This window comes from Homo sapiens, chromosome 7, assembly GCF_000001405.40.
Source record: "Homo sapiens chromosome 7, GRCh38.p14 Primary Assembly".
NCBI classification, from domain to species: Eukaryota; Metazoa; Chordata; class Mammalia; order Primates; family Hominidae; genus Homo; species Homo sapiens.
The window spans coordinates 125,443,817-125,470,051 of record NC_000007.14 but is presented as its reverse complement, the minus strand read 5'-3'; the positions used below and the strand labels follow the sequence as shown (position 1 = coordinate 125,470,051).

General features: G+C 35.8%; 1 long non-coding RNA gene across 1 annotated transcript in view, besides 1 other annotated feature; it reads right to left on the bottom strand.

Moving 5' to 3' along the window:
* Positions 1-3,276: 3,276 nt before the first annotated feature.
* Positions 3,277-26,235, bottom strand: part of LOC100506664 (uncharacterized) — a 28,907-nt gene continuing 5,948 nt past the window's right edge. Inside the window, exons 2-3 of the long non-coding RNA XR_927932.2 lie at positions 8,402-8,571; positions 3,277-3,782 (exon numbers count right to left, since the gene is read on the bottom strand). This is a non-coding gene — a long non-coding RNA (uncharacterized LOC100506664). The remainder of the gene's footprint in view (positions 3,783-8,401; positions 8,572-26,235) is intronic.
* Positions 3,462-3,693: a silencer, noted in NCBI's record as "fragment chr7:125106413-125106644 (GRCh37/hg19 assembly coordinates)". NCBI's record gives its function as "represses an EF-1alpha promoter that drives an FKBP-Casp9 reporter gene in an ReSE screen in K562 erythroleukemia cells {active_cell/tissue: K562}" and the evidence as "EXISTENCE:reporter gene assay evidence [ECO:0000049][PMID:32094911]".

Sequence of the window (26,235 nt, the reverse complement as noted above, 5' to 3'; positions counted from 1 at the left end):
CCAACCTTGAACTGTGTGTCCAGTACATTGCTTTTGGTTTTATCTTTTATTTTTTAAGTAGAGGGTAAAACAAACTAATTTTGACAAAAAAAAAGTAGCTAAGTGTGCTATTAGCAGAAACCCATCAAAGAAAATTCTAAAAACATTCTTCTCAGATGAGAAAAGTATTTTAAAATAGAAAGTCTGAGATGTGAGAAGGCATGAAATTGTTCAACTGGTTTTAAAATATAAACAAGTTGCATAAAAATAAGCAAATTAGATATTATCTAACTCTTAATAAATGGTATTCTAATTGTTTATTATTATAGTTAATAAATTCATAAAAGATGACATTAAAATGCATAACAAAATAACAAAATGAGAGAAAAGTGGATAGAATTAAAGTGCACTGTTTTTGTTTTTATTTTCTTAAAAGGTAGTAACGGTATTAATTCAACTTGCACACTAGTATTTATGAATATTATAATTTCTAACACAATGCATGACAAAATAGCAGACAAGATAGAAGATAAAAATGAAATATGGGCTAACAATCATACATTCCAAAAATACAAATGGATAGAAAAACAGGATAGGGAGCAAAAAAGATTTTGTATCACTTCTAAACAACAAATGTTCCACAGATTATTAGAATAAATATGGAATACCTAATTAATTGCTTCTTTACAAGAAATATTTCATAAATATAATGATATCAAAAGCTGAATGCAGAGGTAGGTCTATGTTTTGTGTGAACTGAGACATATACAATTTAGGGCACCTCCAAAAATATTAAAAATTATCAATGTAATGTTAGCAGCAAAAATGAATACTTAGAATGAGAAATTGTAGATTTCAAACATGCATAAATACCACATAAATCATAAATCAAGTAAAATAGTATATCTTTTTCTTTATTATTGATGGCAGTCTCAGGCCATCTGGTCCCGGCGGGCCATCTGGGGCCGCCATTGCCATCACACCAGCCGCTGCAGGGAGAATACAAGGAAGAGGCGGACACCCCCCCCGCCCTGCAGCCCACCACCCTGAAGGCCGCAGCAAAGTGGCCCTGCCAGGTCGCGGCCGGCGAGGGGTAGCTCTGGGCTGACCCTGAACGCCAGGGCCACAGAGGGATCTTATGGCAACGTTGCCCCCGCCCCAGATGCCGGCCCAGGCCTAGCGAAGACCTGGAACCTCTGCCCCAGGTTGCTAGGGTATGTGGCTGGATGCTGTGTTCCACTGAGCTAGTGACAGCCAGGGACAGGAGGGACACCTGTCCCTTCCAAGGTGTAGGGGCGGGAGCTCCCCAGGTGCAACTGCAGCCACTCAAGCTGCAACTGCAACCAGGCACCCCTGTGCTCTTGGGAGCATGGAGTAGGCAGGAGCAAAGAGTGGCTGCTGATCTGGGCATCCCACTTCACGGAGCAGTCAGGAGCCCTGTTCCAGCCACCCAAACCTGGGCTGCAGACACAGGCATCCACGCACTTTTGGGGGTCCTGGGAAGGCGCCCCTTGCCCTTGCAGGGTGGGAGGGCAAGGGGTCCTGCTTCCGCTGCCTGACCTCTCCCTGCTCTTGGCTCCCGCTCTGATCTCTGAGCGGGGTTGGGGCTGAGCCAGGGTGCCGTCACAACCCAGCCTGGTGTGTGCATGCTGGGAGCAGTGCAGACATGCCAGCCCCCTGCTACCTAGGCTCCCTCCGGAGTTTGGGTATGAGGAGGGCGGGGAGGGGAATCTGTCGGGGAACTGGGGGAAGCTGGGTGCTGGCTTGCATGTGCTCTTTGGTATCAGCAGCCTGCATGCCATGGGCAGCCGCGGGAGGCAGACAGGTTCCTGGGCTGAAGTGGGTGGGTCCTGGTAAGGACCCATCTTCAGACTGGGCTGCTGGTCCCGCAGAAGGAATGGGGACTTGTGGTGTCTCTTCCAGGGCCCACGGCTGCCCATGGACCAATCAACAAATACTTCCTGCCCTCTGATGTCCATAAAAATCCCAGGCTCAGCCAGAGCAGGGCAGAGGACGGAGAGAATGGAGAGATGATAGGAAGGCCGGCTGCAGAGAGAAACTTCCCTCTCTGCTGAGAGCTTCAGAAACCTACAGGGGAGTTGGGAGGACCAGTAGCGGAGAGGAGCTGCTCTCTCCAGGGCCTGCTCTCTGCTAAGAGCTTAACACTTGATGGGACAACCTGCCTACCGAGAGGAGCTACCCAGTGCTGGTCTCCTCTGAGCTGTTCTAACACTTAATAAAGCTCATCTTCCTCTTGCTCACACTTCACTTGTTTGTATACCTCATTCTTCCCGGATGCAGGACAAAAACTCAGGCAAAGGTGCCATGAGCCACAGAAGTTTCCAGCCAGAAAATGGACATCCCAAAGATCCCATAACACTATTGCATATTGTGACTGATTTTCATTATATTACAGATTATAGAAAAACAATTTTATGCATTATACTCTATCATGGTGGTTGTGATTATTAACAGTTTCAAAAATAAAATATTTCAGTTTCACAAGTGTTAATAGTTAATGCCACATCTGCCTTTTCTAGCATAGGTGTGCTTCTTTCCAGGGGCTAAGCTCTTTGAGATTTTCAGCCGTTTGATAATATCCTGGTCTTCTTTCTCTCTCTAACCTCACTTAGCCAATTCTTAGGGAGAAAAGTTGTTTTAAAACCTAGGTTTTACTGGTTCCCCAGAAGCGACTCACCAGAGTCTCATTCAGATCTTTCTCACTGTAGTCAAACTTAGGGTCCCAAGGTTCAATAAGGCCCACCAAGGGCAGGTTGTCACGGGGCACCCAGACAATAGGTGCCTGTCAGTAGTGGCCCTCAGCTAGCTGGGAACCCCAATATCATCATCATAGTGTGAAGGATGACCCCCAGGCAGGGCCAGTACTCCATACTTCTGGCAGAAGGTAGAGAATAAAGATTCCTCTCTCCTGTCTCTGCAGGTATCATAGAAGCTAGGATTCCCCATGGTAAATCCATATCGAATTGAAAGTCAAATGAGAAAGAAAGATATCCTATTAATACATTAAGTTATCTCATTAACAATCCCAAAACTTTGATATTAATAGCAGAAAAAAAAAACAGCTTTCTTTTGATTAGTATCACTCGGTATTCCATAAATATGTACAATTATGTGTCAACTCAAAATAAAATAAAATAATTAATTTTAAAAATGTAAAACTTTAAGTGTAGTTAAAACATTTTGTAGCTACTGCATATATATGTATATGTATGTAGTAGCTACAAAAGTTCAAACAAAGCAAACTTACAGTCAGAAACGATTTCTAAAGAAAAAGAATTACTTGATAATAGATTAAGATTTATTTATTCAGTAAGCGATAACAATTTTGAATTTTTATGCCTAATGGTATTAACTTAAAATAATAATACAAGCAATATTGAGAAATCTATAAGAAATAACAGACAAATCTATAATCATAGAAGGAAATTTCAGCCACTGCTAGATAAGGTAGACACAAAAGTCAGTAAGGTTGCAAAAGGTGAGCAGAATGATTAAAAATTTAACAAGTTGGCAGGGCACAGTGGCTCATGCATGTAATCCCAGCACTTTAGGAGGCCGAGGCAGGCTGATCACGAGGTCAGGAGTTCAAGACCAGCCTGGCCAACATGGTAAAACCCCATCTCTACTAAAAATACAAAAATTATCCGGGTGTAGTGGTGCATGCCTGTAATCCCAGCTACTCGGGAGGCTGAGGCAGGAGAATTGCTTGAATCCAGGAGGGAGAGATTGTGGTGAGCCAAGATTGCCTCACTGCACTCCAGCCTGGGCAACAGAGAAAGGCCCTGTCAAAAAAAAAAAAAAATTAACAAGCTGCAGAATACACATTTTTTCCTATTACACATGTAACATTCAAAAAGTGACCCACATACTAGATCATAAATAAAAATTCTACCTAATGCATGATTAAAATTTGCAACAATGTTGTGGAAGTATATTTGCTTGGTTTCCTTCCAATCTCTCCAACACACACACACACATACACACACACACACTCACACACACACAGATAATGTGGTTCTAAAGTTGGTGGTGTCTTTGAAAGTATCCATTTCTCATCCTTTTACAATTCAAAACAGTTCCGTTATTTGTTGGTAGAGCTACTCTACTATAGAATAATTACTGTAAGAAAAATAAAATCATGTATGTTAATGCTAAGACTTAAGATAGGAATGGTAACAGACATCACAGAGGCCTAGAAGTCCGTTATTATTCACTTCAGCTGTTCAGAACCCAGCTGTGATCTTGTTTATTCTCTGAGACCAATGCCCCAGGCATTTATAGCATCTCTGAAAACCTCCCAACAACCACACTTCAAATCTACTGTTGCCTGAAACTGCCAACTGTTTCGTTTCAAAGATTCTAGTGATTTCAAAATTGCCTCCATTAGAAAGGGAGTAATTGGTAAAATTCCCTAAGGGTAGTAAAAAAAAAAAAAAACTGTCACTGGTAATAGCAGAAAATTTCACAAAAATTGCCAATAAATTTTCTGATTGATGGAACGGAGATACAACTGAAGTTTAATATCTAAGAATCCTGATAAATGGATGAAAAAAAAACTGATACACAAGCAACTACATATGTACACACATCAAAGAAAAAATTTATTTGAAAGCAATTTCTCAGCTTTCTATGTTATATGTCACATGTTAGAAATTGAATTCATGATGTCAACACCTATGTGGGAACAGTTATTGTTTTCCAGTTTATTTTTGTTACCTATCATTAAACAAGACTCTTCCAAAAATTGATACATATACCTTCAACATTATAGAAAGAAAGGAGTGTTCAAGAAATCAGGGCCAAGAATATGGGTATTATCAAATGTAGAGAATGCCTCCACAAATGATACCTCAAAAAATAACTGAATATACATTGTAAATAACGCAACAACTTGTAGTTTTTATAAAGCACATGTGTAAAAACACCATACACAATGAAAACATTATCTAGAGCAAAAGAAACACTAAATTTTGTATTTAGTATTGTTTCAAATACCTAGTAACACACTGGTAGATCCCTTTTAAGATCTGTGATACAATATTATTCTTACTTGTAATTTTAATTGCCTTGCCTTGTTTTATATCTTGTGATTTTTAAAAGCATTTATACAACAGTATTAGGATAGTATATTAACATCTAATTTTATATTGTAAGCATAACCAAAGAGTAAATAAATAAGTTTTTCTGCCAAGATGTTATAAATAATACTCACATTAGCAGAGTAAAGTAACACATATTTGTTTCTGACATATGGTAGGCTTTCAAATAATATATTTAAACTAAATTTTATTTTCTGTAATAAAAGTAAAACTCATAATGCTTGGAAGAGTAGCACAGTTATACTTTTTCCCCCAAAGATTTGCTCATTACCCTCCTAAAACCACTTCTTGATATCCCCCTTGTTTGGGAGTTTTGTTGTTCAATAACACAAATTGCCTCACTCTGAAGCCTAGTCCTACTAAGAAGCAAATCATGAAGTGACAGTGTCACTCGTGAAGTTGACATTTTTGATGCAGCTGCCAGTATTTTCTAAAGAAAAGTAATTCTGAAACCTTTTTGTCTATGGACAACCTTTCCTTAGGTAAAAGCAATAGAATAGTCCCTTTAGAATTCCACTATTACATTTTTTTATACAAGGCAGCATCACATTCATTCTTTATTTAAATTATTTACTCATCTTTATTTTAATTAATTTACTCACTGTCTTTTTCCATTCCTTTTTCTTGTGACAGTTCATCAAGACAAACATATTTAGGGCATTCCACTCCATCAGCCTTCCACTATACAGTGGGCTGACTTGTCACTTCTCAGATGCTTGGGTACCAGGCAGGGAACCAAAAAGGCTCAATGACTATCAAGCACTAAGATTGTGTTAATGTCCTGAATATTTCTTAGAAGTATTGTCGCCTTGAATGTGTACATTACAACAGAAAGTAAGACCTAGACTGGCAAATATTACTTTTTTTCAAAATATACATTCTAATTGGATTAATACTGAGAGTGTTCTAGAGCTGTACAAAATGTGACTAATAATAGTATGTAAAAATGAGAATGAACAAATATTAGCCATATTTGAATAATTTAGATTAATCTAACTGTAATGTTTGAATAAAAAAGCATTTTAAGAGATAATGCTGTATATATGCATTTATGGAAAAGTAAAGCAAACAAACAAATGAAAACAAAAAACTAACATGATCTTCAGTGTTAAAAATGAGGAAACTGCCAAGGGAGGGGGTAAAACGGTAACGACTAAGAGAATGCATAAGGGAGTCTTCTAGGAAGCAGGTCATATTCTATTTCTTGATCTGGGTGCTGATTATATCATTGTGTTTTCTTTGTGAAAATGTCATTTAACCCATTGTAAAAGAATATAAGTCTCTGCTTATAACACAGAAAGCCTTCCAGACAAAGTTTCTTGGAAAGAAAATATTCAGACACAGTAAACATTAGATGGCAAATTTGAAAAGATTAATAAAAATGATGTAAAAATCTCTAAGTTTTTTTTAAATACGAATTAGCACTAGCAGTGAAAAAAAGCATATCACATATACCTTATATGGATTGAAAAATGACAAAAAATTTAACATATATAATTTTAACATTCTAATGAAATTATTAGCTTCTTTGTAAAACACTAAAACTTAAAGAAAAAATATAGAAAAATCTGAATAGTATCTATAAAATAAATCTGTGATTAAAATTTCACAAAGAATTACAGTGTTTCTTTTGGCATTTATATTAACTAGAATGAGGCCAAAGGAAGGATTTAAAATGTTGGCATTACTTGACATGTTGTTCTGAGACGTGTATTTGCAAAAACTGAAAAAATTATGAAGAACTTTGCCCTTTAATGTATGGTAATAGTATTTCACTACTATGTTTGCATTTAAAAAGTTACAGAGAGCTTATAGTCAAATTGGCTTTAAACATATGAACTACTAATTTTGAGACAAAAATAGGTTTGCTAGAGAAAAAATGAGTTACAAAAGTGGAAGAGGGAATAAGAAGGACCTTAAAAAGACAGTGACATAATAGAGAGATTTGAAAGACTTGACAGGTAGATAAGTAGAATTCAAAGAAATATAGGAAAAAGAAAGAAAGGAAGGAAAGAAAGAAAGAAAAAGAAAGAAAGGAAAGAAAAAAAGAAAAAAAAGAAAGAAAGCAAGAAAGAAAGAAAAAGAAAGAAAGAAAGAAAAAGAAGGAAGAAAGGAAGGAAGAAAAAAAATAAATGAAAAGAAAGTAAAGGAAGAGAAAAGAAAGCAAAGGAAAAGAAAAGAGGAGGGGGGAGGGAGGGAAGGAGAGGGAGGGAAAAAAGAAAAGATAGAAGGGAAAAGAGGAGAAAGCCAGCGAGAGCGTAGAAATAGAGAAATATAATGGAATTAAGGTATACATTTAGAGAAGTAAATATGGTAAATTGCTATGAAAACAACACTAGACTAGAATAAAAAATAAAAAGCCATGTTGGATGGAGGAAAACAGGAAGCTTCAAATGCCAAAAACTTGGCATGTTGTTCTGGGTTGTGATTATGGAGATGTGTGTTTGCAAAAAAATTAAAAACTTACAAAATGCTTTGCACTTTAATGTATGGTAACAGTATTTCACTACTATGTTTGCATTTAAAAAGTTACAAAGAGCTTATAGTATTTCACTAATATGTTTTCATTTAAAAAGTTACAGAGAGCTTGTAGTCAAATTGGCTTTAAATATGTGAACCACTAATTTTGAGACAAAAATAGGAGCTTCTAGCTCCCTGTTTGTTTTGTTTTGTTGTTATTATTATTATTGCTATTCTTTCACTATTGCTTATTCAAAATAAAGTTAATGAAAGTATAGGTGACAATGATACAGAAAACAACACCATAGAGTCTGCATACACATACAAGGGAATATGAGAGGATTCTACTCAATGATCCAGATGGAACGATTGACAGGAAATGACAAAGACTCTCAGAAAGCATACTAAGCTCCCAAATGGGGAAATGAAAATGTATTAGATTTATAATGCTTGGTAATACAATCTTATTTCTAGGAATTATTTCTTCAAAACTATAAACATGATGTAAACATTTAGTATTACTTTCAAATGGCATTTATTTAAAGAAAGACAGTTTATGTTTTTAAACTTAGTTTCCAAGTTTCAGAGAGTATCTAGAGAAACATTCAGTATGCAATTACGCATTTCAGAAAGCTAAATTTATTTTTGCTGGTTACTGCAATGGGTTTATTAAATATATATAGTTTTACAACATTTATTTTTTATGAAAGATATCATTTTGCAAAAGTTCTCAAATTCCTAAGAGCCAAATACTTAATTTGGGCTATTATTTAATTCTTGTATAAAAATGGTACATTCTGGGGTTGTTATAAATGCTGTGGCTCATACTTAAGAACACAAACCTGGAAAACTTAAGCAAAGAAAAGTAATTGCATTTCCTCCGTAGTCATTGATATTGGAATGACTATTTCTTGCCAAAATCTCTCAGTTTCTTTAGTTGTCCTAATGGTTTTTATTCAGCAGTTGAATAGTTAGGTTGTTAACAGGAAAAGTATTAACAGAGGCTTTACATCTGAAAAGAAATAAGAGTAAATGACTAAGTTACACCAATTACAACTAATTCTAGATTTACAATAGAAAAATATATAATACAGACCACATTTTTATCAGTAATGGAAAGAAATAGTTTGTGTATTTAGCTACACTTTTTCCTACTATAAAAAATGTCAGAAAAAGAATTTCTAATGTTTTCTATTTAACATAATAGGAATGCATTTAACATCAATTTTCTGTTCCTTACTGTAGGTGTCATTTTAACAGTGTAAGACATTACCTCTTACAGAAAAAGGTAGGTAATGATTTACTCTTTGCAGAAAGCCAGAAGATTTTTTTTAAAGATACATTACTGCCAAAATGATATAGTCTTAGTGGTGGCAACATGTGTTTAGTCCTTCTCTGTTAGGAAATAGAACTTTCCAGTGCCATTTACTCAAGCCTGTGTTACTAAACATTGCTTTAAACCTCTCCAATCCTTCTTTGAAGAACTGAGAGCCCTGAACATAAAAGTACCCTGCTGGATTCTTTGTTAGAATCTTGTGTTCCATTTTATGGGATCACTCAGCTTTGACTCAGTTTCACAGACTTTCTCCAGAGTCTTTGGTATCTTTCTGCTTCAGTAGCTAGAGCTCCTCTCTGTCTTTCCTACAGGACCTGAAATGTCCCTCTGCTTTTAAAACATGACTTAATAACAGATAACTAGCATTTACATCTTTTCGAGAAAGTTTATTCTAGGGATGTCACTTCTGAAATGGCGGAGTGAGGATGTTCATGGACCCTTTCCCTAGTAAAACTACCATAACCAGTGAAAATTACAAAAATGCTCATTTGAAACTGCTAAAAATTGTCATAAGGGCATACAGAAAATGAATAAACATTTATTTAAGAAAATCTACTAAATCTCAGTAAGAACAGCAAAGGTACATGGTATTTCAGCTAGACTCATTCACCCTCTCCATGTTCACCATGATGAAAGTTCTAATCTAAATTGATTCAGCCAAGAACATGGGGCTTCTTCTTTCCCAGCTCCTAACCTAAGGCTATGTCAGGATAAAAAACCTTCCAACATTTCTCATCCCCTCAGCTCTATGTTGTAGACGATCTATTCTAGGCAAGTGGTCAGAAACTTCCTTAGTCTACTCAGCCCCCAATTATAGGCTAGGAGTTGTAACTCAGGCTTGGCAGCCTAAGAATACTGGGCCTCAAATATTCTCACACTACCTCAGTCACAGGGTGGATATTCCATGCCGAGAGAGGGAGACTGCAAATAGTAGAAATTACTACTCTTTCCTAGAACTCTGACTATATATACAAAACTCCAAAGTATGTACTAAGGTAAATAAATTTATTTAAAAGAGATTATAGGAGAATTCAACCTGAAAGGCACATTGGAAAACAATGAGATTTTGATCATGAGCAATTAAGAGAAGAATGATAGCTAAATGGTGCAACAAATAAAATAGTGGATCAGTAGAAAGTTTAACACAGAAACCAGAAAATAAACAGCTAAAGAGAGCTCTCCCAAGGTCAGAATAACCCTCAAATACTGGTTTCATATGATACCATTGCAAAAGATTCCAAATGTATGCTCAGAGCATGCTTGAAAGCAATAGTAGCAAACAATTAGTAGAGTCTAATATCTAGGCATAATACCATAAAGACAGACCAGCTAGAAACACAGCAAGAAAATCAGGAAAGGACAGTCAAATATAACTCATTGAAATCCACTCTAATTCCCATGGGATGAGGGAGAGGGAGAACTCTACTTATGCTCACACTTAAGCATCTGAAGAGGAGTCTGTCACTGAAATAGTCAAACAAGTTAGGATGCAAATAAACAAGCAAACAACAAGACTAGGGAGGGGGTGAAAATCAGTTTCCAGAGTTGCTACACTTTGTTATTTATAATATCTAGTTTTCAACAATAAGTAAAAACCATGCAAAAAAGCAAGAAATTGTGATTCATGTACCTGAAATAAAGCAGGTAAACAGAAATTGCCTTTAGGGAGCCCACATGACAGTCTTAGCAGGCAAAGACTTCAAAAGAGCTATTGTGAATATGTTCAAAGAAATTTAAAAGTGCTTAAAAATACAGAAACTTATGAGGATTATGACTCAAACAAAGAATGTTAATAGAGAGACACAAATTATAAAGAAAAAAAAATGAAAGAAAATTCTGGAGTTGAAAGGTACAACAACCAAAATGAAAAGTTTACTAGAGGATCCCAGCAGACTTGAGCTGAAAGAGTAAAAAATTACTGACCTTTTAAATAAATCAATATAGATTGTGCAATCTAAAAAACAGAGAAAAATAAGAAAGAAGAGCAATAAACTAACACTCAGAGAAAGGTGGGCTACCATTAAGTTCATGAATAAATACATAATAGTAGTTTCAGATCAAGGAAAGGAAAAAAGCAGAATAATATTTGAAATATAATGGCTGAAAACTTCCCAATTTCGCTGAAAAACATTAACCTATTCACCCAACAAGTTTAATAAACTCCAAATAGAACAAATGCAAAGAGAATCATACCCAGATACAGTATAGTCAAAATGTGGAAATACAATGAAAAAAAATTCTTTAACTCATATTAAGCCATGAGGCAAATATTACCTCAACTTCTATTAATGTAACATACCATTTTTTATGACCACTATGAACAAAGTAACTTATATACATACATTTTAATTCAGATGTTTAAAGAGTTTAAATAGTAATGATCAATACTCAATAATACTGAGAATTAATATTTTACTTAAAAATGATAAAATTACTCAATATTGTGCTAAATAGTATAACACATTATTTCACTAAGCTTAAAACAGCCATGAAGTGAGTAGTTATCTACAATTGTTATAATGCGTTCACAGAGCATTAGAAAAGTTAGTTTCCTCATGTTAACACAGCTGGTAGAATCAGAGCTAAATAAAGAACCAGAACTAAAACAAGGTCTGGATTCCTGCAAATGATCATGGGTTTTTTGCCATAACAATCACCACTCAGTATCAGTAGATAGATAATACAAGTGTTAAAGCAAACTAAATATGGCCTGAGAAGGACTCCATCCTTCTATATTTGAGTCCTTGTGGATGAACTGTAACCTAACTTATTAGACAGACAAAATTCAAAAGCTAACTTAGTAGTATACACCTGTAACAATAGCCGAGTCTTGGCCAATCCCAGTGACCATACTTCAACCATTCCTACACGGCTGCGTGTTCAGACTGTGTTCAAATAAGGCACACGCCAAGCTGTAACCAATTCAGCTGTACTGTACCTCAATTCCAATTTCTGTACGTCATGAACTATTTTTTTCTATAAATCTTCTTCCACTACATGGATGTGCTGGATTCTCTGTGAATTTGCTGTGATTTTAGAGGCTGCCCAACTTGCAAATCATTCATTACTCAATTAAATGCCTTTAAATTTAATTCGGCTGAAGTTTTTCTTTTATCAGATGGTGTCAGAAGTGGGATCCGAAGTGAAGCTTCTAGTGACCTCCAGGAGTGCTAAGTGAACATGCAAGGTACCTGCGGGACCCACTTGTGTACACTGACTTCTCAGAGTGGCTGGGGATTTTGGGTAAGCTCCCTCTTGGATTTCGGAGCTCCACAGAGTTGTGTTTTGAGCTCTCTGAGTTTCTGATCCAAATTGGGTTTGGAAGTCATGACAGAAACTGGGCTGGGTCCAGGAATGAAATTGATCTGGGAATTTACTGGTTTGGAAACAGTAAGAGGCCTCTTACATCTGACTGGGTCAGAAAGGAACTGGTGGTAAGCAGTAATATTGCAGTGGTTTTACAATTTGTCTTTTAAAAATTCACAGGGATTTTTGTGTTCTACCCCTTTGTTTTATTTTTCTTGCACTCCTAGGTAAGAAAAAAAATCATTGGCTAAGTTAATCAAGAGAACCTAAGAGTAAAGCCCATATTTTAGGTAAAAATGGGATCCTTAATTTCTGAAAAACTGAGTTCCTTCTTGCTTATACATTAGGCCCAGGAGGCAGCAAAGTCTTACAGAAATGGTGAAATCTTACTAAAGATAACTTACAGTATAATGTTCTAAACGAACAACAACACACTGAAGTGCAATTTAAAAAAAAATTTGTGTTGAAGCTTGACCCCCAGGGTGATGGTGCAGCAAGTCAAGTCACTAGGGCCACTCAGGAAAAGGGAACCCAGAAGGCTGGCATGTTGGCAAAAGGGTAAGAATTTCTTACCAGTCAGATTTCTAATTTCTCTCTTGGTGTGCAAATTGGTTGCATGAATGGTAAAAATCACTGTTTATCTCCTCTGTAAAGTTTTAATTAATGCAAAAAGAATTCTGAGGCTGGCGGTAAGCTGTAGTCAATCTGGTGTATTTTGTGCTATGAATTTGTTTTTCTGTGTCAAGGGTACCTTAGGATAAAACATGGGGTCAGGCGCACATAAGCTCACTGCTCAAGATGGCCCAGCAAGCTGATCAGTAACAAACTTTGTTGCAGGTCCCTGAAACAAACAAAAACCTGGATGAGGTCTTCATCTTGTTTTATGTCCTTGGGAGCTTGATCTTGTAACCATGTGGCACAACTTTCTCTTGGTCTCTGCCTTCCAGGGAACAGAAATTTAGGTTTCATGTCATAGTTAGCTCTAAAAATTATCTTCACTAGTTAAAAGCCTTTGCAAGCTCAAAATTAACTACTCTAGACTTCTTGGAAGAGCACTGGAGATTTTCTTGTGCTGTAGCTCAGTAGTTAATGTTTTGCCATTTTGCAGTGTTGGTCCAGGTTTGATTCCCAGCTTAGTAAATAAGTTCTTTCTGGTTTAATATCTGTGTGTCCTTGTCTATTCTCTTCTCCTCCAAAGACTAAGTTTTCCTTTTGCTGAGCACCTGGGAGGTTACCTTTGGTAAAGTTCAAAAGTCAGAAATATTGGCCATTTGGCTTGGCTAAAGTCAGGAAATAAGAAATTTTAAAAGGACTTTATTAAAAAGCGCTGTAGTTAAAAGTCAGCTGAATTAAAAGTGGATATTCAAGCTCTAACAGCCTGGACTTATTGGGAAAAACAGGAGGCACCAGAGACCCTTTTCTGGCCCTGTTCTTCTAAGGACTCCACCCTAAAGCCAATAACCAATTAAGAAACTTAAAAACTGGCAAATGAAAAATCTTACAACTGAGAGACAGGACTAGCTGGATTTCCTAGGCCGACTAAGAATCCCTAAGTCTAGCTGGGAAGGTGACTGCATCCACCTTTAAACCCGGGGCTTGCAATTTAGCTCACACCCAACATTCAGGTAGTAAAGAGAGCTCACTAAAAAGCTAAGTAGGCAAAAACAGGAGGTAAAGAAATAGCCAATCATCTATTGCCTGAGAGCATAGTGAGAGGGACAATGATCAGGATATAAACCCAGGCATTCGAGCTGGCAATGGCTACCCTCTTTGGGTCCCCTCCCTTTGTATGGGAGCTCTGTTTTCACTCTATTAAATCTTGCAACTGCACTCTCTTCTGGTCTGTGTTTGTTACAGCTCCAGCTGAGCTTTCCTTTCCCTTGTCATCCACCACTGCTGTTTGCCGCCATCACAGACCCGCTGCTGACTTCCATCCCTCCGGATCCGGCAGGGTGTCTGCTGTGCTCCTGACCTAGTGAGGCCTCCATTGCCACTCCCAATCAGGCTAAAGGCTTGCCATTGTCTCTGCATGGCTAAGTGCCCAGGTTCATCCTAATCAAGCTGAACACTAGTCACTGGGTTCCATGGTTCTGTTTCATGACCCATGGCTTCTAATAGAGCTATAACACTCACTGCATGGCCCAAAATTCCATTCCTTGGAATCTGTGAGGCCAAGAACCCCAGGTCAGAGAACACGAGGCTTGCCACCATCTTGGAAGCAGCCCGCCACCATTTTGGAAGCTGCCGCCACCATCTTGGGAGCTCTGGGAACAAGGACTCCCCTGTAACACAACTACTATAGTAATCTTCTATCTGTCTGTCTGTGTAGTTACATAAAAGAGCTCTGATTAATTGACTTAAACAAAAATAAGCACTTAAGTCAAATGTTTAGAAAGAAAAAGTAAAACTGTAATGCCTTTTAGTTCATGTAACTTTAGTAATCTTTGGATAATAAAAACAGCTTTAAAGATTATTGGCAAAAATAAAACATTTGGTCTAAATTATGTAGGTCAGATATTAGGTTTCCTAAATGCTTTAAGGTCATAAACTGCTTTGACTTTTAAAAATTGTTTAATTTATTTTGGAGCATTAGATAAGGCCTGGGGACATGTGGAATTAGCCATGCTCCCTGTACAACTTCCCTGCTTTACAGTTAGGTAAGGCCTGAGACACATGGAGTGAGATATTAGAAAGAGTCAGACCTTATCTGCATTTCTGTCTGGGTCCTAGTGTAGCAGGACAAGCCACAGACAAAACCTGTCAGACACCGAGTTGTAGAAGGAAGGGCTTTATTCAGCTGGGAGCATCGGCCAGCTGCTGTCTCAAAATCCGAGCTCCCCGAGTGCACAATTTCTGTCCCTTTTAAGGGCTCACAACACTAAAGATTTCACATGAAAGGGTCATGATTGATTTGAGCAAGCAAGGGGTACGTGACAGGGGCTGCATGCACCGGTGGTTGGGGAGGAACAGAACAGGGCAGGGAGTTTCACAATGTTCTTCTATGCAATGTAAGGAATCTATGAATAACATCGGCTTCTAAATCATAAGTTGATTTTTAACTACTGGGTTTAGGCCAGGCGGGCCTAGGCCTGGTTTCGGGCCTGGCACTGGGCTGCCTGTCTTTGATTTTACTTCCTTGTTGTTTCTACTGAATATGAAACAATATAAAACAATGTGAGAGGGTCTTTCTCTCCTCTCACTAGGCTCCACACCTAGTACATAATTAAAATCCCAAACTTGCCAAGGTTTTCACCAAAAGTAAAAGTCGCTAAAAGTTAACATTGTAACAAGTGGTATTATTTGGTTTTTCTGTAAATTGAACATCAAAATAAAAGCACAACAGCTTTTCTTAGAGCCCTAATCTACTCTTTAACAAAAATTGTAAAGCGTTATAAAAGGTTTATAAAATTCTTACCTTATGATCAAACTGATTAAGATCATATACATTTGTCTATAAGGTTTTATTAAAATTGGGCTTAACATCAATAACGCTCTAATGGATCAGTGAAATTTGACTTATTTGGTTTAAAAATCATGGGAAGTACTGTAAAAATAAAAATAATGTTTAATCTTCAGGTTATATTTTAGTGAATGATATTAATATATGTTCCAAAATTGTGTGGGATTTCTAAAATTCTAATATGTTTCAGTATATGAGATCAAACATAATTAAGGTTATTATGTTACTTTATTGTAGCCCACAGAAATAACCAAATTTCCTTGTTAATTGTGTTTTTAACTATAAGTATTTAAAGTCATCTCCACAGTTAATTGCTTAATGCTAATGCAGTTTCTGAAAACTTCGCAAGCATGGAAAATCCTAGAATATGTTTTCTTTTAAAAGGTTCGTGAAAGGGTGGAAAGGACCCTGAAAAACACTCTTGAATACAATTTTCTAATAACTTTAAAATCATGTAATGAGTAAAAATTTCCCATGAATTCCCCAATTCCCCAAGAGTTGGACTGGGTAAAAATTCCTGAAACTCTAATAAAAAGACTGACTGGTTTATAAAACTGCTAACCCAAGTATGCCAGATTACCATGCCAAGTCAGTCAATACTAAAATCTTTTAGATATACAATTTAAATGAACTCCATGGTCTAAGTCAAATTACCTGTGATAACCCATCAGTTAACAGTGCTAAAGCACCTACATTGGAGAAACATCTGGTATTCAAGAAGGACATAAGTCCAATCAATATTAAGCATGGACTCATGGAGAACCAGAAAGTCTGCTCTTGTCATTCCTGAGTCCTTAAAGCTTTTGTTATTAAAGGTTCTGCATTCCATGACTCATCATGAAAATGATAAAATAATCCAAATTGAATATATTAATTTGGTGACTTATACATTGTGGAGATAGTTTAAAACCAATGTTTGGTTCCATATTCCTGGCAAGACAATCAAATTTTTCATGTACATTTGGCTACCTGATGGGCCATTTAAACATTTATTTAAAAATTCACTCAATTGTCATTTTCAATGTATGTTTTCCGGAAGTACAAAAGCTTTCCATGCAAAAGAGCTGATATTGTAACAGTAGATTATTATGGATTTTCACCAGGTAAAGAAAGCTTTCTATGGTTCATTGAGGATAACCCCTTCGCAGTCTAGAACCTGAAGATTAGATCTTCTGAGAACATCAGAGAAAGACTGTCTTTGCCATCCACATTGCAGCAAAACTTTGGAAGCTTGAACTTTGGGTTCATAATCTTAAAACTGGGAAGGGTTCCTCCACAATCTTGGAACTGTACACCCATGGAAACCCTTAAGGTAAAACTAACCAGGGAAGTCTCTCCCCAGAAGAAGAAGGCATCCTTGATGTGAACAGCTTTTCCCAATACCGTGGATCAAGACTTTTCTACTATCACGAGAGTCTTATCTTTGAATATTGCTTATGGCTCTATGAACAATAGAAGTAGAAAGGGGGTCTGTTATATACACTTATGGGGTATACTTTTATTTGTGAAGTTTTCAGCCAGCCTTATACATGGATAACCTTATACTTTGATAGATAAGAGTAGGCGGCCCAATGTAGGTGAAAAACTTTAATGGTTCATATGTTGTCTCATAATCAGTCAGAAACAGAACATTGGTTCACTCCTCTTAACACACATCACGGGTTAAAGAAAACATTGCCAGGAGGCCTTCACTGTTCTAGGAGGATACCATTTGTTACATCATTTTTCCATGATTTAGAATAAAAGAGGCAATAATTAGAAATGTATCCCTTGTAATGGGCTCTATGGCAGACTCTACTGTAAAGGCTATGGTTACACAACCAACTTTAAATTCTCCTGTGACAGTTATGCTAAATAATAGAATTAGCTAAAAAGTACCTGTGCAGCTGCTGGCACTTGTGGCCTATGGAGAAATACATCAAATGTAGATTATGAAAATTTAGTTGTAGGGGATTAATGAAAAGACTACTTAGTCAAGCAAGTAGACTCTTCATCTAGCTCATTTTGTAATCTATTTAATATTAGATAATTTGGTTTACAGGGACTCTGTGTATGGGTAAGGAGCATACTCCAAATTCTTATTATCCTCCTAATAATCATCATAATAGTCTCCCTGGTGCACTGTATTCTCTCAAAGGTTGTAAATGTTTGCATGCAGCCATCTCTAGATTGTCAATGGTCTCTCTTCAAATGGAATGAGAAAAGGTGAAAGAAATTTGTGACCATGAGGACACTGTAACCTATGAATGACACAGTGAGACAGGAAACCCAAAATCATGGTAATTGAAAGTGGTGCTAGGGCCTTAAGTTTTGGTCATTCTCTCACCTAAGTGAGAACCTGGCCAAAAAGGAGGAATTTTTTAAACAAAATTATGGGAGGCAATTGTTTTGGACTAAGCTCATGCACTGGGCCCCAACAGGCTAAACCAAACAAAATGGAGTCACTTGTGCTAAATGTGACAATCAAACTAAGACTTTAAGGAAACCCATAGATCCTAGAACAGACCAGGTTTGGTTTTTCTCATGTAAACAGAACATTCCAGCATAAAGAGGTACCCTCTACTCAGTCCTTGTTCCCTCCTTACAAAACCCACTGTTTAACTGTTTCCCAGTGGGTTTCAAGACCATATAGGTACATTTACGATGGTGATAGTAATGTCAATGACTAAGGTTTTGGTCAATCTTTCAAAATTGATAAAATGACCAAAAAGGGGGAATTGTTCAAGCAAACTAAATATGGCCCAAGAAGAACTCTATACTTCTATATTTGAGTTCTTGAGGATGAACCTGGTTAATAGACAGACAAAATTCAAAACCTGACTTGGAAGTATGCACCTGTAACAATAGCTAAGTCTTGGCAAATCCCAGCTGCCATATTTCAAACATTCATACACTGCTGAGTGTTTATAGACTGTGTTCAAATAAGGCATACACTTAGCTGTAACCAATCCAGCCATTCTGTACCTCACTTCCAACTTCTATACATCATTCTTTATTTTTTTGTCTATAAATCTTCTTCCACCACGTGGCTGCGCTGGAGTCTCTGTGAATCTGCTGTGATTCTGGGCCTGCCCAATTTGCAAATCGTTCATTGCTCAATTAAACTCCTTTAAATGTAATTCGGCTGAAGTTTTTATTTTATCACAAGGCTTAGTGTTTCCCAATCCACAGATGTCTCTGTTGTTGTACTGCTGAAATTTGCAGTTAAAGTTGAGAAAATTTGTTAAATATTTCTTTCTTTGTTCATAATGAACATGTTGATGATCCTTGAAACAAAATAGACTCAGGTGTTTCCTCTTTCTTTGCTCCACCCTCCTCCATTTTAAGGTAGTTTTCTTCTTAAGGCAGATTCTTAAAAATCTACTAGTAGATATTCATCCCAGTATTATTCAGTTCCTTTCACTAAACCATTGTTAGTGGATGTTTGTCCTAACCACTAACATTAGTCACCAACTTCTCATATAGTTATTTACTTTATTCAAGTACCAATAAAACAACAATTTCTATTTCTCAATAGAGCACAAAAAACACTAGGTCATAGTCTTGCTTCTCCCATACAAACAGGTATAGAAAAATCTATGCTTCTTTAACTTATACTGATCTTTCATACATTCCTTCCAGATCTAACATCTCTAATACTTTCTTAATTTACTAATTTTTTATGCCTCTTTTTATTAGAAACTGAGAAACGGAGGAAATGACTTAAAAGTACCCGGTAAATCATAGAGCGGAATAGAGTATGATTTGTTTTCTTGAAATTTATTATTTTGATGCCTTTTCTCCCCTCTGAACTTATAAAAATATATGTGAATGTGAGTGAGTTATTTATTTCATAAGTATCAGTAGATTCCTCATCTTCCCTGAGAAGTTATGGATTCTAACTTTCATGATTCATCTTTATATCTGATCAGAAGCAACCTACATTTGACAGCCGTCCACTCAGGCCTAGAGAAAGAAAAACTGAAGAGGTGTGTAATCATTACCGTGTAAAGAAATATTATGGAGGTAACTTATGCCATCTCAGTTTATAAACAGTGACTACATTTAAGGATTGATTAAAATTTCATGATTGCTCACTCATCAGAAAACTTGCTTGGAGGAAGTTTCTTTCTAATTGACAGCTATTATGAGCTAGGATAAAACAACAATAAAACCACAACAAATCTTGTCTCTGAGAGGTTTGGAGATTGACATAAAGATTATACAAATGAAATGGTTACACAGACATTTTCATCCATTGCATTTGAGCAAATTAAAAAATGACTGGAGTGTAACTCAAAGATTCCATTTGGAAACTCAAAACTTCATATACATGTTGAAGAATTTTAGAAAATCATGACATATTGGTGATAGAAATAAAGTATACAAATTTAATTTTTACCATAAGATAATTGGGTGAGCAAAGATTCTTGAGTGAAAAAAACAATGTTTTGCAAAAGTCACAAGAAAACAGTAACTTCACAGCATTTGTTAAAAATGTTTATGTGCTCCAGTAAAACAGAGCATTACTTTTCTCTCCACTTTTTTTATTTCTCATCTTTTATAACATTATATTTCCATTGTTTGATTAATTTAACTATTCATTCATTCATTTATTGATAACTATAGAACTATAAAAATCCAAGAGGCTAGTAGTATTGTCTGTCACTATATACCCAACAAAATGCCCTTCTAATAGGGTGTGCATGATTAGTATTTGATAAATGTGTCTATTACTTAACCAAATTTTACACTTCCAAGAAGTAGACATCTGTGTGACAACAAGAAATTTATATTAAAGATAAGACAAAATGATTTCTATTATACATGTAGTTCTAAGTAAGTGAATAATGTTCTAAGCCTGTAGTTTCAGTGTCCATTCATAAAAATACATCATGAGTAGAGATAGTCATCCCCATGTAAGGGGTAATTTTCTAATTATTCAGAAAGAATAATTAGCTATTTTTGGGTTGTTGAAAAGAATTCAGATTGGGATTACTGAAAACTCTATTCTATGTCAAAACAGACTTCTAGTCAAAACAATCAGATGGCAAAACAGATTACAAATAAATTAATACAATCTACAGCTGTAAAGATAAACAATAATAAAGCCAGTCAATACTTCTGAAGTAAGTCAATACTACAGAATAGAAGAGTATACATATTTTTATATGAAATAGCCTTCCAGCTCTAACAACTGACTTGTTTATAGAGAGTTTCTCTAATGTATTTAATCACACAATGGAGGCAAGGAAATATTTTTATTTAATCCATTGGTTTTTAACATGAATAAAGTTATTTTAAAATTAAGTTATTTCTTTAATATCTAAAAAAGTGAGAGATTAGTATGTCTTTTCACAAAAATGTCAGCAAGACAAAAATACTATTGATTGTCTAATTATTGACTGAATAATCCTTAAATTTTGAATGAAATCAAGAATTATAGTTGCAAGATCAGAGGCATTGCAATGCAATAGATTGTAAAAATGTGTTATTTTGGAGAAGACTTAATTCAAAGTTAAGTAAATCACTGGATGAAAATGCCAGGATGAGGTATTTCCATGAGTTTAGTGAGGATACCAATTGCCAGGCTTAATTCTCTTATTATTTTTATAAGTCACTATTCCTTTCTGCTGATAGACAATAAATTTCCCATTCTGTAGTCTTCTTATCTACAACATTAAAACCTATCTAATTCTCATTTGTTTTATTATCCCTATAGTAGCCATGCAAAAAGGGACTAAAGTCAATTTCTATTTAATCTAGCCTGCTGTAAAAACAAACCCTTGCTTGACAAGCAACCTAGACTGATATCTCTTGCAGACACTATAAAATCCCCATACTTAGCAGCTTGCAGGGATCAGAATAGAAATATCATACGACAAATTACATGTTTGTAGGAAGATGAGGTTCGATTACACTAAATGTAATGTCTACCACCTAAGACACAGCATATTAACAGAAAACTATGACTCAAGGGAACAATACATAGGAATCAGAGTATAACAACAGCCATAAAATATAATAAGTATTGTTATGAAAAAGAACAAAGTGGCATCTTTTAAATTAAGGCTTTTACAATGCTATCAAGTCAAGATATTCAGTTCTTGTTTTAATTCTGTGGTAGAGGAATTCCTTATTCTAATCGTTATAAATAATATTTAATGATAATTACTTACAAACAACAATTCTGCTTTACATGTATTTGTGTAATTACACATTAAGTGATTAGTAAATGTAATTATTAATTAAGTGATGAGTCATCTCTCTGATGAGGGCAATAAACAGACCACAACTGCCAAACTGTAGAACTATGAAACAGTATATATTTTCTTTAATGCCTTAATAACCAAGACTAGCTCATTTTCGGTGAGTCGTTTTCCTTCCAGTATGTTTTTATTTCTAATAATGCCTCATGGAACTCATGGGGGCAAAGATAGGGGATGGGAAATAAAACTCTTGACCTAACAACAAAGTCTTAAGGAATAAACTACTAATTTGCTCATCAGACATGGCTGTGAGCATCAGACAGAAAGACCCTGGTTGCAACACATAGGTGAAATATTCATCCCCCTCGGTGACTCAAAAGCATGGTTTCAGAGGTTCTAGACAAAAAAATAAATCCTCATGCATCACGAGATTTTGAAATTAAAAAGTGAAAGATATGTGCACTATTTCTTTCTGTTTTTTTATTATACTTTAAGTTTTAGGGTACATGTGCACAACTTGCAGGTTAGCTACATATGTATACATGTGCCATGTTGGTGTGCTGCACCCAGTAACTCGTCATTTAACATTAGGTATATCTCCAAATGCTATCCCTCCCCCCTCCCCCCACCCCACAACAGGCCCCGGTGTGTGATGTTCCCCTTCCTGTTTAAAATGTTCACAGCTTCTTTGAGATTAAATTCTTATTACATTCATTATTAATATATCTAATAATATATGAGAGTTGAATGGTTGTCCTTAGCTAAGTTATAATAAAAGGACATTTTAAAATTGTACATCAGACATGCTTTCTCTATACCATGTAAGTTAGTATAAGTTCATCTTAACTATATAAGGATAATATAATTTAAAGAGCTGAACTTTTGTTCTTCATGATCATTTCACTGATTTAGAAAAAATAGCTTAGAACAAAACTGGGGATTCTGTGATACACTGATGTCTATGTGAAATTTAATGTTCTATATGGATTCCTTTGGGTGAAATTATCAATTAGATTATTTTAACAATTTAAGAAGCATTGATATTTCCCTAATATAATCTTTTAGAATTATGATTTTCTTATAATTAAATCCTACTTACAAAAGCAGTTGCATCTTTCTCTGTTTCAGAGAGAGATATAAAATTAGCTATTTCTTACACACTTGTTTGTGTATGTCTGTTCATGTGTGCGAATAGGGAGGGATGAGGGAGGGAGGGATAGGGAGAGAGAGAGAGAAAAAAAACATTGTATCACTCATGACATTTTGTTTTTACTTACTCTAAAGGGAATTCTTCATCTGTTCTAGTATTTGGACTCAATTGATGCTAAATAAGTGTTTGGTATATTATATATAATGTTATTTGACACTCAAATATACAACATGTATATGACACGCAGAGCTCTCTCACATCAGGTAACACTGGACTAATTAGTACTGGCTCCTCGATATTTCCTGAATGCAGCAGACATGCTTCCTTGGAGCTCTTGAGCTTTTGTGCCCATCCCTGTCTTTGTCATGCTCTTCCCCAGGTTCCCTACTTTGCTCTTTTACTCTTATTACTGACAATTGTCTCTGAAGAAATGTCATCTTATCAGTGAGACCTTGCCTGACTACCATTTCAACGCACCTTCCCCAACCCTTTATTCACTAGCTCCTTCATCTGTTTTGTCTTTTTCTACAGAACTTTCATCACTACAACCGTTCATCAAGGATTTATGTGCTATCTTCTTCCTACAGCAACACTAGTGTGTAAGCTCCATAAAGGCAATGTTTTTTAATGAAATATCTTCACAACTCACACTGAAGTTTGGCAAACTACATAAGTATGTTTGAATGAATGACTGAATAGTATTCAACTTATGCAATCAATTTTATTATTTTATCATCTCAGTTCATATGTGAAGAGTTACTATAACCTTCTCTGTGTACCCTACATTTTACAAAACTCTTTATGCTTCAGCTTCAGCACGTTTGAGTCATTTGCCTGTTATCTCAATTACAGTCCTCTTCTTCATGGGCTCATTTCAGCAGTAGCATTTTCCTTTGAGCTTTCTTCTATTTTCCATGAGCTATTAAGGCTTCATTTGCGGCTCTCTGCAAGCATTTCTGTCTTGTTTTCCTTGAAATGCTATCCTTTTCAACATCAATAAATTTACACTCAATTGTTGTCACAGTTCATTTGCTGCTGTCTCCCTGACATTTCAGCTATATTTCAAACTGTTTTGCTAATTTTCACTTTACACTGTTTTTGCAATCATATGTAGATGAGGTGTGAGAAGATAAAGTGATAAGTACATGGCTCAAGTGAAATTCTAGGGAAGCAGCAATTTGAATTCACATTACCATTTGACCATGGCTGTCGCATTAGAGAACATTGGTTTCTAGAATTTTCATTCAATATTACAATCAATTTGGTTTTTCAGAAGCCAGTCTAGAATACTCCAAATGTATTTTTTAATGTTACAATATATTGTGCACAAGGTCAAGCTGAGCAAAACTCAATAAATTCAACGATCCTTTTTGTTTCTTCTCTTTCCCATTACATTCTGTTCAATAAACTCTTTTTCCACTTTAACTCTGAAACCTCCTGTAAAGAACAGCACATGATGTTTGGAGTTGTTTCAATACATTCTTTTGGTTAATTTTAGATTATTCTATTTTCCTTAGCTTCTGGAATTTAGATTTGACTTTCACTAACATTGAAGATGACTGACAAGCTGGACCACATCCCAAAAGATTTCAATGCATTGCTTCAGAAATATCACCATTTGATGCTAGGATCTTTTCATTACACATTTTTCTCTTATTCATTTATTTTTCAAAGAGTTGTTAAGTGGGTACCATGAGTCTACATCTACAGATTTTTTAAAAGAGCAATATACCTGTAGCTCTCTCCTGTGCTATTAAGCAGTGGCCTTTAGCTTTGTAGCTGGCTGCTAACTTTAAATGTTACTACATTTTCAAGATGTTTCTAAGTCAATTACTCCCTCACATACAACAAGCAACACATTGTCCAAGATTTGTAAAAATATCTTCTTGAGCAGTCTTTATTTTTACATTTCTTCCAACAACTTTTAAGTGAGAATCACCGTGAGTCTCAGGTATTTATTTTATGACTAACAGAATTATGACTATGAGTATTTGTTCAGTTCACTTGCAAGTATTTCAAGGGTCTCCCCAATGTAAAGCAATATGTTTAAACTGTAAGGATATAAAGAATTATTATACAGAATTTATGTTCCCAAAGAGCTTAAGGAATAATTGGGAAGATAAGAGATTTTCAAAGAAAGGAAAAAAAAACAGGAAAAACTAAAGGTAGAGTATGCAAAAGGTCCAATAAGTGATAGTACTAATAAGTGCTTTAGGAGTTCACAAAATGACTGAGAACTCAAAATAATTTTCAAGTTACATGAGGGGCCAAGCAGAGTGAGAAGGACATCTTCAGGAAAGGGAATGGCCTGGCATAATTGTAAGAGCCAAGCTAAGTGAGTAGACTTGAAGGAGAGTTGCATTTGAATAAGCAGAAAGTAGTGAAGCAAGCATTGCAGGCAGATTGGGGGAAATGCAGTAGGAAGACTGTTTATAGTTTATTCAGAGGGTAATAGTTAGAATAGAAGGTTTCTATTAAGATAGCCAAGGAGATAAATCTGTAGAGATAGCTAGAACCACACGTTTCTAGATTCTTATTGATTCTGTTTTATACCGCCTGAAGTCTTTTTAAAATAGAAATTAAGCCATATACAATCACTGTTCCACAGTTTTAGAGTACCTATGAAACATACAAGGAGGATGTCTGTGTGAAGGGACAGCCAGGCAACAGTGCCAATGCCCATTAGTGTGAGAAGGATGTTCACAATGAGGGGTGACCTGATGTGAGATGTAAGATCTTAAACAGGGTGAGGAGGGTGTCCGTGCTGTAAAGGCAGCACATTAAACAGTAAAAGGAGATTGTTTATATAGGATAGAATTCAAATAAATAACAATATATTAAGAGAATTAAAAGGCAAGATTTGTATGGTCAGAGAAGGGAGTTATAATTATGGAAATTTTTTAAATAAAATATTTGTTGCAGGAAAATTGATGCAAACTCATGGATTTCTTTTTCAGTCTGTCTTCTTCCTTTCCTCCCTTCCTCTTTCTCTCCTATCTTTTCTTTATCTCTCATCCAATAGTAATGAGACACAGCTAATATATAGATTGGTCTTTAAATATTATTTTCCACTAAAAAAAGATAACCTGTATGGATATATGGCTGATTTGATGGCAGGGGCAGTATAAGATGTATAAGAAGAGGTTGCATTGAGTTTGATCAGAATGCAAAAAAGTGCTCAAAAAACTGACGGAGACATGCCAGAAGGTCATGGTAGCTAGATTGAAAGGATTTTC